At 43.9% G+C, this 13040-nt stretch overlaps 1 protein-coding gene across 2 annotated transcripts in view, besides 4 other annotated features; it reads left to right on the forward strand.

Moving 5' to 3' along the window:
* Positions 4616 to 4816: a silencer, noted in NCBI's record as "peak1553 fragment used in MPRA reporter construct". NCBI's record gives its function as "represses an SCP1 promoter by STARR-seq MPRAs in K562 erythroleukemia cells {active_cell/tissue: K562}" and the evidence as "EXISTENCE:reporter gene assay evidence [ECO:0000049][PMID:32103011]".
* Positions 12007 to 12508: an enhancer, noted in NCBI's record as "H3K4me1 hESC enhancer chr12:7340767-7341268 (GRCh37/hg19 assembly coordinates)". NCBI's record gives its function as "activates a minimal SCP1, AML or CMV promoter by ChIP-STARR-seq in naive H9 embryonic stem cells {active_cell/tissue: H9 hESC(naive)}" and the evidence as "EXISTENCE:reporter gene assay evidence [ECO:0000049][PMID:30033119]".
* Positions 12419 to 12468: a silencer, noted in NCBI's record as "silent region_4200". NCBI's record gives its function as "represses an Ori minimal core promoter by ATAC-STARR-seq in GM12878 lymphoblastoid cells {active_cell/tissue: GM12878}" and the evidence as "EXISTENCE:reporter gene assay evidence [ECO:0000049][PMID:35858748]".
* Positions 12489 to 13040, forward strand: part of PEX5 (peroxisomal biogenesis factor 5) — a 29922-nt gene continuing 29370 nt past the window's right edge. For both annotated transcript variants that reach the window (XM_047429262.1, NM_001351124.3), the window contains exon 1: positions 12489 to 12646. The gene's annotated coding sequence lies outside the window, so the exon portion shown is untranslated. The remainder of the gene's footprint in view (positions 12647 to 13040) is intronic.
* Positions 12509 to 13008: an enhancer, noted in NCBI's record as "H3K4me1 hESC enhancer chr12:7341269-7341768 (GRCh37/hg19 assembly coordinates)". NCBI's record gives its function as "activates a minimal SCP1, AML or CMV promoter by ChIP-STARR-seq in naive H9 embryonic stem cells {active_cell/tissue: H9 hESC(naive)}" and the evidence as "EXISTENCE:reporter gene assay evidence [ECO:0000049][PMID:30033119]".

The following is a 13040-nucleotide window of genomic DNA, read 5'->3' on the forward strand; positions in this document are numbered from 1 at the left end:
ATGATGCTAAGCATCTTTTCATATGCTTATTTGCCATCTGTATATCTTCTTTTGCCTATTCAGATGTTTTGCCCATTTTCAAGTTGAGTTGTTTGTTTTCTTATTACTGAGTTTTAAAGTCTTTTAAAATTTTGGATAACAGTCCTTTATGACGTATGAGTTTTGCAAATATTTTGTCCAAGTTAGTAGCTCGTCTTCTCATTCTCTTAAAGTGATACTTTTTAGAATCAATGAATGTGGTAGAGGTCTCACAGGAAGCCAGCTTGGGCAGCTGGGTGGGAGCAGCCTACTTGAAAAGGCTCCCATGGACAGGAAGCATGTATATTTGGTGGTGGTGGGACTGGTAAGGTTAAGCCCTGGGAGGGGATTTAAAGATAATGCAAATATCAGAGTAAATGCCTAAATAATAAGGAATTATAAATGATAAGAAATTAGGGAATTAGCATGAGGACTTGTGCTCAATAGGTGCCTAATACACACTTGTCGAATTATTGAATTAAAATGGACAATGAGACTGGCTCTTATAGAGGGCATTTGACACTACTTACTACATGACAGTCATAGATTTTAGAAACAGGGACTTTTAGAAATCTGTTGTGCAATCCCTTCAGGTTGTAGATGACAAAATGTGGTGAGTGTCAAGGTGAAGTTACTGAAACTCATAGATGCTGAATATAAGTAACTGGTTGGGCAACTTAAGTTTCATTTGTTTAGCTAATGCTTATTCCAAAAAACAAACAATGATATGATGTTTCTTCAATCGTCAAACATATGTTAGAAAACTTGAGCCTATTGTATTGACCCATATTTTTGCTTACTGCATTTTTCCTTATTTCATGATGTTCCTGAGTTCCTTCTTTTATTGTTTCCTTTCTGCTTTAAGAACTTCCTTTGGCTATTCAGTCAGGGTAGGTCTGATGGGGACAAATTCTTTTCATTTTCCTTAATGAAGCATGTCTTGATTTTCCCTCCATTCCTGAAGGATATTTTCAGTGGGTGTGTTGCAAAATAATGTCCTTCCCAAAGATGTCCACGTCGTACTGTCTGGAACCTGTGAATAGGTGAGGCCACATGGCAAAGAGAAATTACAGTTGAAGATGGAAGTTTCTAATTGGCCCACCTTATGTTCTTATTGTTGAGTTTTAAGAGTTCTTTTTATATTTTGGATAACAGTTCTTTATCACGTAGGAGTTTTGCAAATATTTTCTCCAAGTCAGTGGCTTGTCTTCTCATTGCTGCTATAAAAATTTTTCACAAACTAAGTGGCTTAAAAAAGTTATTACTGCATTCTCTTGGTGTGATAACTTTTTAGAATCAATGAATGTGGTAGAGGTCTTGGAGATTATCCTCCAGGATATGGAGAGAGAATGTAGAGATGATTCTGGATTATCCAAGTGGGCCCAATATGATCACTGAGGTCCTTATATGTGAGAGATGGAGGCGGCAGGGAGAGAACCAGAGGGATGACCATATTAGAGGGGCTTGGCCAGACATTTCTGGCTGAAGACAGAGGTAGGTGCCATGAACCAAAGAATCAGGTGGCCTCTAGAAGCTGGAAAAGACAAGAAAACAGATTTCTCCCTACTGCCTCCAGAAGGAGCATAGCTCTGCTGACTCCTCGGTTTTAGGGGTACCCACCTCGGTATTGGGGTGTCTTCTTACAGCCTCATGAGGGAGGAAGTCTAGACTCCCCTCTTGGCCATTGCTTGTTGTGTGGGTAGGGGCACAGTTTTAAATTTGGTGTTTAGCTCGAATGGAGTGGTTATTGTCTAGAAGTTTCTGTCTTGGTAGGCTGCCCCTCTTCTTGTCCTTTGGTTAGAAAGAGCAGGCTTTTATTGGAGCTTATTTTGTCTGGGCATGTTGGTGTTTCTGGGTTGCTGGCCTCTTTAGCACTCAGTATGAGATATGTGAGGCAAAAAGGAAACCCATGGGACTCATTACCATGTTGTTTCTTGGGTCTTGTGGTCCCTAGCCAGTCTGCCTTCTTTTCTACACCTTTGAGAGTCTTCTTATGTTTGGTTTACATATAATGCTCAGGGTTTTAAGTTGTACTGAATGGAAGGAATAGAGAAAATTATGTCTACTCCATTTTTCCCAAGGCAGGATCTTTCTCCAAACACACACACACACACACACACACACACACACACACACACACACACACACACAGCTTATCTGTATATGCTATAGATATTTGGTGAAAAAACTCTGAAAAGGGAGCAAAACCACTCATTTGGGGAAATATTCCCAAGCAAAAAAATCTTGGTTTCCTTTTTCCTTCCTTCCTTCTTTTCTGTGTGGGGACAATCAAAGGTTTCCCAGCTGGATTTGGCAAGGGTGACATATTCTGAAACTTCTCTGGATTTCAAAGGTGGTAAGATTCTACTAGAAGCAGGATGCTATGGTCTGAATGTTTGTGTCTCCCTCATAGTTCATATGTTGAAATCCTAACCCCCAGTGTGATGGTATTAGGAGGCGGTTAGGAGGCTTTTGGGAGATGATTCGGTCATGAGGGCTCTGCCTCATGAATGGGATTAGTGTTGCTAGATCCCAGAGAGGTGGCTAGGCTGGCCCTTCCACCATGTGAAGATGCAGCAAGAAGGCACCATTTATGAGGAAGCAAGAACCTCACCAGACACTGAATCTGTGGGTGCTTTGATGGGACTTCTCAGCCTGCAGAACTGTGAGAAGTAAATATTTGTTGTTTATAAGCCATCCAGTCTAAGGTTTTTTTTTTTTTCCTTTTTTTTTTGTTTTTTTTTTGACATAGTCTTGCTCTGTCACCCAGGCTAGAATGCAATGGCACGATCTCGGCTCACTGCAACCTCCACTTCCTGGGTTCAAGCGATTCTCCTGCCTCAGCCTCCCAAGTAGCTGGGATTACAGGCACTTGCCACCATGCCTGGCTAATTTTTGTAGTTTTAGAGATGGGGTTTCACCATCTTGGCCAGGCTGGTCTCAAACTCTTGACCTCAGGTGATCCACCTGCCTCCGCCTCCCAAAGTGCTGGGATTACAGGCATGAGCCACGGTGCCCCAGCCCTCAGTCTAAGGTATTTTATTATAGCAGCCAGAACAGACTAAGACATAGGGGTGAAGACAGTGTGTACTACAGTCCTTGCAGCTATCTGGCAGCGTTCTCTACTGGGTGGCCAGGGATGGAGTTAAGATACTTTGTACCCAAACCTAGGTGCATAGTGCTGGGTATACCTCGGTATATCTAGATATCACTACTTTGAACACTTTTAAAGCAAATTAAGATTTCTTCAGGTCTTTTTAGATGGTCCTGGCTTCAAGATTTGCTGCATTTCATCACATATACTGTTTTCATCCTTTGCCAAGTTGTCTCTGCCAATGATGACTACTAGGGCTGCAAGGAGGGATGGGTAATTATAAGCAACAAGCCCTTCCAAATGTACATGTGTAAAGACTGTAACTTGATTTGCAATTTCCAGAGCATGGAAACTTCTATTACTCTGCATCTGATGTCATTAAAAAACTAAAGAATCAAATCAGATGGGGTCATCCCCCATTTCCTACCTGTCTTAGTTTGTTTTCTGTTGCTATAACTGAATATCACAGACTGAGTAATTTGTGAAAAATAGAGGTTTATTTAGATCATAGTTATGGAGGCTGGATAATTTATAAGGAATAGAGGTTTATTTAGTTCATGGTTCAAGAGTATGGTGCCACCATCTAATGAGGGCCTTCTTGCTACATCATAACATGGTGGAGGGCATCACATGGTGAAAGGGCAAGGGCAAGCAAGACAGAGAGAGCTTGCTTTTATAACAAACCCACTCCCATGATAGCAACATTAATCCACTCATGAGGGCAGAGGGGTTAAGTTTCTAGCACATTAGTATTTTGGGGACACATTGAAACCATAGTATTACCCCTCCTCCAAACAAGAGGAATGTAGACTTGAACACTTAGAAAATAAAGAAATTAGGCCAGGTGCAGTGGTTCACGCCTATAATCCCAGCACTTTTGGAGGCCGAGGCAGGTGGATCACCTGAGGTCAGGAGTTTGAGACCAGCCTGACCAACATGGAGAAACCCTATCTCTACTAAAAAATACAAAAATTAGCGGGGCATGGTGGTGCATGCCTGTAATCCCAGCTACTTGGGAGTCTAGGGCAGGAGAATCGCTTGAACCTGGAAGGTGGAGGTTGTGGTGAGCTGAGATTGTGCCATTGCACTCCAGCCTGGGCAACAACAACGAAACTCTGTCTCAAAAAAAAAAAAAAAAAAAAAAGAAATTCATTTATTCAAATGAATTTATTCAAAGAAAGTAGCTGTACCTAAATGAGATGATAGCTAGGTAAACTTGTAACTCATGGCTGGGCACAGTGGTTTACACCTGTAATCCCAGTACTTTGGGAAGCCAAGGTGGGTGGATCACTTGAGGCCAAAAGTTCAAACCAGCCTGGCCAATATGGTAAAACCCTGTTCTTTCCTTAAAAAAAAAAAAATACAAAAATTAGCCTGGTGTGGTGTGCATGCCTGTAATCCCAGCTACTTGGGAGGCTGAGGCACTAGAATTGCTTGAACCTGGGAGGTGGAGGTTGCAGTGAGCTGAGATCCTGCCACTGCACTCCAGCCTGGGAGATGGAGTGAGGCTCTGTCTCAAAAAAAAAAAGAGTTTTAACTCATGACTTGGATATCGTTACCAAGTGGAGGAAATGGCCTTAGGGATCCATGACACAGCAGGCAGAGCTCAGCTCTAAAACAGTGCTGAGAGTATTCATTTGTGACTCAGCCTTGTCTTGGGGATATGTCTATGTCTTGAGTCTTGGTCTCAAATCTCTGACTTTTAAGTATCTACACTGTAGTTCTAAATTTAACCCAGTAAACTTGACTTACCTGAGTCAGTAAATTTGCCTTGCAGAGATGTAAAAGTGACATTATAAGTTAAAATGTTTGATGTTTTAGAGAATCTGATGGATTAGCCTTTGATTTGGAAAGTAAAGTTTTAGACTTTGGCAACCCCCTTTGGGTCCCCTCCCGTTGTACAGGAGCTCTGTTTTCACTCTGTTAAATCTTGGAACTGCACACTCTTCTGGTCCATGTTTTTTCTGGCTCAAGCTGAGCTTTCGTCTGCCGTCCACCATTGCTGATCACCACTGTTGTAGACCTGCTGCTGACTTCCACCCCTCCGGATCTGGCAGGGTGTCCCTGCGCTTCTGATCCAGTGAGGTGCCTGTTGCTACTCCCGATCGGGCTAGAGGCTCGCCATTGTTCCTGCATGGCTAAGTGTCCAGATTTGTCCTAATCAAGCTGAACACTAGTTGCTGTGTTCCATGGTTCTCTTCCATGACCCATGGCTTCTAATAGAGCTATAACACTCACTGCATGGCTCAAGGTTCAATTCCTTGGAATTCGTGAGGCCAAGAACCCCAGGTCAGGGAACAAAAGGCTTGCTGCCATCTTGGGAGTGGCTTGCCACCATCTTGGGAGCTCTAAGAACAAAGACCCACCAGTAAGATTTGGTGGCCTATACGGGGATTCTCCAAAGCGGTGAGTAATATTGGACCACTTTTGCTTGCTGTTCTATCCTATCCTTCCTTAGAATCAGAGGAAAATACCAGGTACCTGTCAGCTGGTTAAAAACGATTAGCGTGGCTGCTGGACTTAAGACTCAGATGTGAGGCTTTCTGGGAAAAGGCTAACAACTCCCAACCCTTGTGGGTTGGGAGCATTGGTCTGCCTGGAACCAGCTTCCACTTTCACAATATTCCTGGGGGAAGTCGAGGGCTGACTAGAGGCAGAAAGGTGTCATCCTGAACTCCTGGCATTGGCCAGTCAAGATCATGGCACAGCCAGAAGTCTCTACTCAACAATCGCCCATGCATGTGCGACTACCTCTCCTTCTGACCCATACCTCCTGAGTTCTGATCACGACTTTCTTGAAAGTGTAGCCCCCAAATTCTCCTTACCTGTGAATCTACTGCCTTTGATCCCTGCCTCCTAGGTACAAATGCTTCAGACTTTTACTTCCTTTCCCAAGTATTAGAGCAAGTTGTATCTCCAAAGGGATCTAAGGGAGCTCTACGCTGCATCCTTAGGCACCTAGGCTATGAACCCAGGGAGTCTTGCCCCTGGTGTCCCTCCCAATTTAGGTATACAGCTGTCAACATAGGCAGTTATGTGGGACCCATTCCCCACCACCCTTGCCAGGGCCTTAAAACTGATGACCCAGTACTTTAACAACTGGAACTCGGTCTACAACAATATAATAGATCAGGATGAAAATGCATTAAGTAAATTAAGGGAAGGCACATATTCCTATAGTGGCAAATGGGGGCAATGAGCAAACGTCCTTCCGCTGTGTTCCCAAAATCCATCTACCAAGAGAGAAACTATCTCTCTCACAGCTTTGCCTAGTGATCCTATGTAAGTCAATACTACTGGAAAGACAACATAGCACCCAGAAGTTTATTTACTGGACTTTAGCATATAAAGCCAGCAAGTCCATCCTTTTCTCCTTGCTCCCCTTCTCATAGGAAAAAGGCACATAGGATAAACAGGATCCATCTGTCATATTTTGTACCCAAAAAGACTTAATCCGGGACAACAAAAAGTTTAAGATCAATAATTAGGGCATATTCCTACAAAGAAAAAGAAGGACAAAGGCCCCAGTGGTCAAAAACTCTATCTCAATCCTGACTCAAAAGGTTACCTACACCCTCTCTGAAATGAATTTGCATAGGAACTGTTATTTATGGGAATGCATTTTCATGGGGCAACTGGGTTGTTATGAAATACTCAGGAACACAGCCCAGCTCTAGAACTCACCCCTGAGTGCAAAGGCAATGTTGGGCATGCTAGTAAAGGACCCCTAGAATCCAGCAGCCCCGACCCCTTTCTTTGTGGTCAAGAAAGGTGGGAAAACAGGTGCAGGACTGCTACATTGGTGAGCATAACTAATCCGATAAGCAGAGGTCCATGGGTGGTTACGCACCCTGGAAAGGAATAAGCATTAAGACCACCGAGGATGCTCTAAAACTGATGCGATGCGCATTGGAAAATGACTCGGGGTGCTGGCATCCCTATGTTCTTTTTTCAGATGGGAAATGTTCCCCCCAAGGCAAAAATGCCCCTAAGATGTATTCTGGAGAATTGGGACCAATTTGACCCTCAAACACTAAGAAATAAATAACTTATATTCTTCTGCAGTACTGCCTGGCCATGATATCCTCTTCAAGAGGGAGAAACCTGGCCTCCTGAGGGAAGTATAAATTATAACACCATCTTATAGCTAGACCTCTTTTGTAGAAAAGAGGGCAAATGGAGTGAAGTGCCATATGTGCAAACTTTCTTTTCATTAAGAGATAACTTGCAGTTACGTAAAAAGTGTAATTTATGCCCTATAGGAAGCTCTCAGAATCTACCTCCCTACCCCAGCATTCCCCCGGCTCTTTCCCCAACTAATAAGGACCCCCCTTCACACAAACGGTCCAAAAGGAGATAGACAAAGGGGTAAACAATGAACCAAAGAGTGCCAATATTTCCCGATTATGCCCCCTCCAGGCAGTGGGAGGAGAATTTGGCCCAGTCAGAGTGCATGTACCTTTTTCCCTCTCAGATTTGAAGCAAATTAAAATAGACCTAGGTAAATTCTCAGATAACCCTGATGGCTATGTTGATGTTTTACAAGGGTTAGGACAATCCTTTGATCTGACATGGAGAGATATAATGTTACTGCTAGATCAGACACTAACCCCAAACAAGAGAAGTGCCGCCATAACTGTAGCCCGAGAGTTTGGCGATCTCTGGTATCTCAATCAGGTCAATGATAGTATGACAACAGAGGAAAGAGAACAATTCCCCACAGGCCAGTAGGCAGTTCCCAGTGTAGACCCTCATCAGGACGCAGAATCAGAACATGGAGATTGGTGCTGCAGACATTTGCTAACTTGCGTGCTAGAAGGACTAAGGAAAACTAGGAAGAAGCTGATGAACTATTCAATGATGTCTGCTATAACACAGGGAAAGGAAGAAAATCCTACTGTCTTTCTGGAGAGACTAAGGGAGGCATTGAGAAAGCATACCTCTCTGTCACCTGACTCTGTTGAAGGCCAACTAATCTTAAAGGATAAGTTTATCACTCAGTCAGCTGCAGACATTAGGAAAAAAAACTTCAAAATCTGCCTTAGGCCCAGAGCAAAACTTAGAAACCCTATTGAACTTGGCAACCTTGGTATTTTATAATAGAGATCAGGAGGAGCAGGCGGAATGGGACAAACGGGATTAAAAAAAGGCCACAGCTTTAGTCATGGCCTTCAAGCAAGCAGACTTTGGAGGCTCTGGAACAGAAAGGCTGGGTAAATTGAATGCTTGCTTCCAATGCGGTCTACAAGGGCACTTTAAAAAAGATTGTCCGAATAGAAATAAGCCACCCCCTTGTCCATGCCCCTTATGTCAAGGGAATGACTGGAAGTTCTGCTGCCCCAGGGAACGAAGGTCCTCTGAGTCAGAAGCCACTAACCAGATAGATGATCCAGCAGCAGAACTGTGTGCCCAGGGCAAGCACCAGCCCATGCCATCACCCTCACAGAGCCCCGGGTATGCTTGACCATTAAGGGCCAGGAGGTTAACTGTCTCCTGGACACTGGCACAGCCTTCTCAATCTTACTCTCCTGTCTCGGACAACTGTCTTCCAGATCTGTCACTATCTGAGGGGTCCTAGGAGAGGCAGTCACTAGATATTTCTCCCAGCCACTAAGTTGTGACTGGGGAACTTTACTCTTTTCACATGCCTTTCTAATTATGCCTGAAAGCCCCACTCCTTTGTTAGGGAGAGATATTCTAGCAAAAGCAGGGGCCATTATACACTTGAATATAGGAGAAGGAGCACCCATTTGTTGTCCCCTACTTGAGGAAGGAATTAATCCTGAAGTCTGGGCCACAGAAGGACAAATAGACAAGTGAAGAATGCCTGTCCTGTTCAACTTAAACTAAAGGATTCTGCCTCCTTCCCCTACCAAAGGCAGTACCCTCTTAGATCCACCCAGCTCTCTGATGGACAGCCCAACAAGCCCCAACTTGGACTTCAAAAGATCGTTAAGGACCTAAAAGCCCAAGGCCTAGTAAAACCATGCAATAGTCCCTGCAATACTCCAATTTTAGGAGTACAGAAACCCAATGGACAGTGGAGGTTAGTGCAAGATCTCAGGATTATCAGTGAGGCCGTTGTCCCTCTATACCCAGCTGTACCTAACCCTTATACTTTGCTTTCACAAATACCAGAGGAAGCAGAGTGGTTTACAGTCCTGGATCTTAAGGATGCCTTTTTCTGCATCCCCGTACATCCCGACTCTCAATTCTTGTTTGCCTTTGAAGATCCTTTGAACCCAACATCTCAACTCACCTGGACTGCTTTACCCCAAGTGTTCAGGGATAGCCCCCATCTATTTGACCAGGCATTAGCACAAGACTTGAGCCAGTTCTCATACTTGGACACTCTTGCCCTTTGGTATGTGGATGATTTACTTTTAGCAGCCCGTTCAGAAACCTTGTGCCATCGAGTTACCCAAGCGCTCTTAAACTTCCTCGCCACCTGTGGCTACAAGGTTTCCAAACCAAAGGCTCAGTTCTGCTTACAGCAGGTTAAATACTTAGGGCTAAAATTATCCAAAGGCACCAGGGCCCTCAGTGAGGAACGTATCCAGCCAATACTGGCTTATCTTTATCCCCAAACCCTACTAACTGTTGGATGTGCCTCCCCCTGCACTTCAGGCCATACATTTCAATCCCTGTATCTTTAACCTCCTTGTTAAGTTTGTCTCTTCCAGAATCAAAGCTGTAAAAACTACAAATGGCTCTTCAAATGGAGCCCCAGATGCAGTCCATGACTAAGATCTACTACAGACCCCTGGACCTGCTAGGCCATGCTCTGATGTTGATGACATCAAAGGCACCCCTGCTGAGGAAATCTCAACTGCATGACCTACTATGCCCCAATTCAGCAGGAAGCAGTTAAAGCAGTCGTTGGCCAACCTCCCCAACAGCACTTGGGTTTTCCTGTTGAGAGGGGGGACTGAGAGACAGGACTAGCTGGATTTCCTAGGCCAACTAAGCATTCCTAAGCCCAGCTGGGGAAGATGACTGTACTCACATTTAAACAGGGTGCTTGTAACTCAGCTCACACCTGACCAATCAGGTAGTAAAGAGAGCTCACTAAAACACCAATTAGGCTAAAAGCAGGAGGTAAAGAAATAGTCAATCATCTATTGCCTGAGAGCACAGGGGGAGGGACAATGATCGGGATATAAACCCAGGCATTTGAGCTGGCAGTGGCAACCCCCTTTGGGTCCCCTCCCGTTGTATGGGAGCTCTGTTTTCACTCTATTAAATCTTGCAACAGCAAAAAAAAAAAAAAGAAAAGAAAAGAGTTTTAGACATATGACTTTAAGAGGATTAAGAAAATTGAATAAATGTTTATAAGTTTGATTTATTAAAGGGTTGAATAAAAGTTCAGAAAGGTTTTGCCTAGTAGTGTTGTTTGCCCTGTCAGGTATTTAAAATATGAATATTAAATGTCACATAGTTAAAAATATTAGGAAATTTGTCTTTTATTTCTAAAAAGCAGAAGTACAGCACAGTGTTTAAGAGCATGGACTCTGGAATAAGACTGTGTAGGTCAAAGATCCACAAACTATGGCCTGGTCCCTGTTTTTCCATAGTCTGCAAGCTAAGAAGTATTTGACGTTTTTTGGCTGGGCACGGTGGGTCACATCTGTAATCCCAGCACTTCAGGAGGCCAAGGGGGGTGGATCATCTGAAGTCAGGTGTTTGAGACCAGCCTGACCAACATGGTGAAACCCCATCTCTACTAAAAATACGAAAATTAGCTGGGCATGGTGGCATGTGCCTGTAGTCCCAGCTACTCGGGAGGCTGAGGCAGGAGAATCACTTGAACCTAGGAGGTAGAGGTTGTAGTGAGCCGAGATTGCGCCACTGCATGCCGGCCTGGGTGACAGAACAAGACTGTCTCAAAACAAATAAGTATTTGACATTTTTAAATAGTTGGAAAAACATCAAAAGAAGAAGAATATTTTGTAACATGAAAATTATATAAAATTCACATTTCAGTCCCCATAAAAAGCATTACTGGAATACAGCCATGCTCATTTGTTTAGGTGTGGCCTATGTCTGCTTTTGTGCTCCAACAGCAGGGTTGAGTCACTGTGACAGAGACTGCATGGACTACAAAGCCAAAAATATTGACCATTGAGCCCTTTACAGTTTGGTGACCGTGGTCTGGGTTCAAATCCCAGCTCTGCTATTTATTAGTATGACCTTGTGCAAGTCACTCAACTTCTCTGTGCCTCAGTTTCCTCTTTTGTAAAATGGGGGATAATAGTTATTATTAATAACTATTAGGAGGATTAAATAAATCAATAGTTGAAAAGTGCTTGAAACAATGCCTGGCACACAGTCAATGCAATGTGTGTCTAAACATCTATTGAACTTGAATTCGTCAAACATTAAAGAATAAGTAAAAATTATTTTTATTTTATAAAAATTACTACTTTTATGAATAGAACAAGAATTTAAAGTTGAACCTGGATTAACAAAATCTAGGGTTTCAAATCTAGAGCTTCAGTAAATTAAATATTAAACACCAAAGTCACTCTATTAGCCCTTTCCCAGCACCTCTGGCTGGGACTGTGGACCAAGTTCTGTGAATGATTCTATGGCCTAGGAGATCAAAGATCTCCATGGTTTATCAGTAAGTCTTCTCTAAGACTGGGAAGTAGGTGCCTAGAGTTATGCCTGGATTAAATTTTGACTTCCTAGCCATCTGATTTTGCACAAGTCTTATCTGTAAAGTGGGTCTACTAATATCTATTTAATAGGGGTATTAAGAAGATTAAAAACATTGAGATACATAAAGTGTTTTACACAACACCTGGATTTTAGTAAACATCAGTTATTATTATTAGCATTCTTCCAAGATCTGCACACAAAGTGAGTTACGGCTAATCAGTTGATAAACTCCTAGCAGAGCAGAAGGTTATGTGTGTTGTGATGTTTAAGTGGTACTGGGAAACTCTGGTTGCCTTGAGGTTCTGAAATTCTACTGTATCAGATGGGTTCCTTTAAACATTGCTCTCTCTAGGGGGTCCTCTTTTTAAAAGTATGCACCTTCTGGAGGGCATCTCTTCATCCTTGTGTGGTTTAGTTTATCAGGTATTTTCCTCACGATGGCAGCCTGAGAACAGGGGACGCCCAAGGGCTGGGATTTGTGTGCTCCGGAAGAAAACGGGGTGTAGAAGTGGGGCCTCTGAAAGAGGGCGAAAAGGCAAGGAAAAGGAGAAATGTTGCACAGTCTTATGGTCTGTCCCCTGCCATTCTGTTCCCCTGAGGTGTCAGAGCAGCTTCTCTGTCTTCCCAGGGATGAGTTTACACAGACATTCCCTGTGGCCCCCTGAGGCCTCCACCTCTGAAATCTGCAGAACAGCCAGGAAACAAGCCCGGCCCATGGCGCCACCTGCTGCCTGCCTGCCTCCGCTCATGCACCCTGGGCTGGGATGGTACTTCTGTTCGTCTGGCATTATTGCCCTTGGTCATTTACCGGCAGCCCTGGGCCCCTCCTTGCTCTTCTCCATGACACTAGGACTCCCTTGGTCTTGAAGCTGGGTGAGATTATCAGGGTTTGTTTCTCAATGACTTTGAGGTTTGACAGCAGAGCACACTCTTTGGCAGATGAGGGGGCTTGAGGCTTAGTCTTATTCCGTGATTAAAAGCATTTCTTGTATGTTTGTCCTTTCCCAGCCTGGAGTGATGGGAATAAGGCCACTATGTTGACTTAGCGGAAGGAAGGGCTGACTCACTGTTCACCTTCCCTGTACGTTACCAGCTCGAGGTCTCAGGATGCGTTGGACCCTATTTTGGTCTCCGGAATTTGTCATCATGCAGTGCTATTTTCCCCATTATGCAGAGGTGGAGAGGGATTAAGGCGGGGGCGGGCCCCTGTCTCCATGGAGACAGTGACGCTACCCCGCTAGGGGTTATTTGGAAGCGGGGCAGGCCT

The sequence above is a fragment of the Homo sapiens genome, chromosome 12, assembly GCF_000001405.40.
Source record: "Homo sapiens chromosome 12, GRCh38.p14 Primary Assembly".
In the NCBI taxonomy this organism is placed as follows: Eukaryota; Metazoa; Chordata; class Mammalia; order Primates; family Hominidae; genus Homo; species Homo sapiens.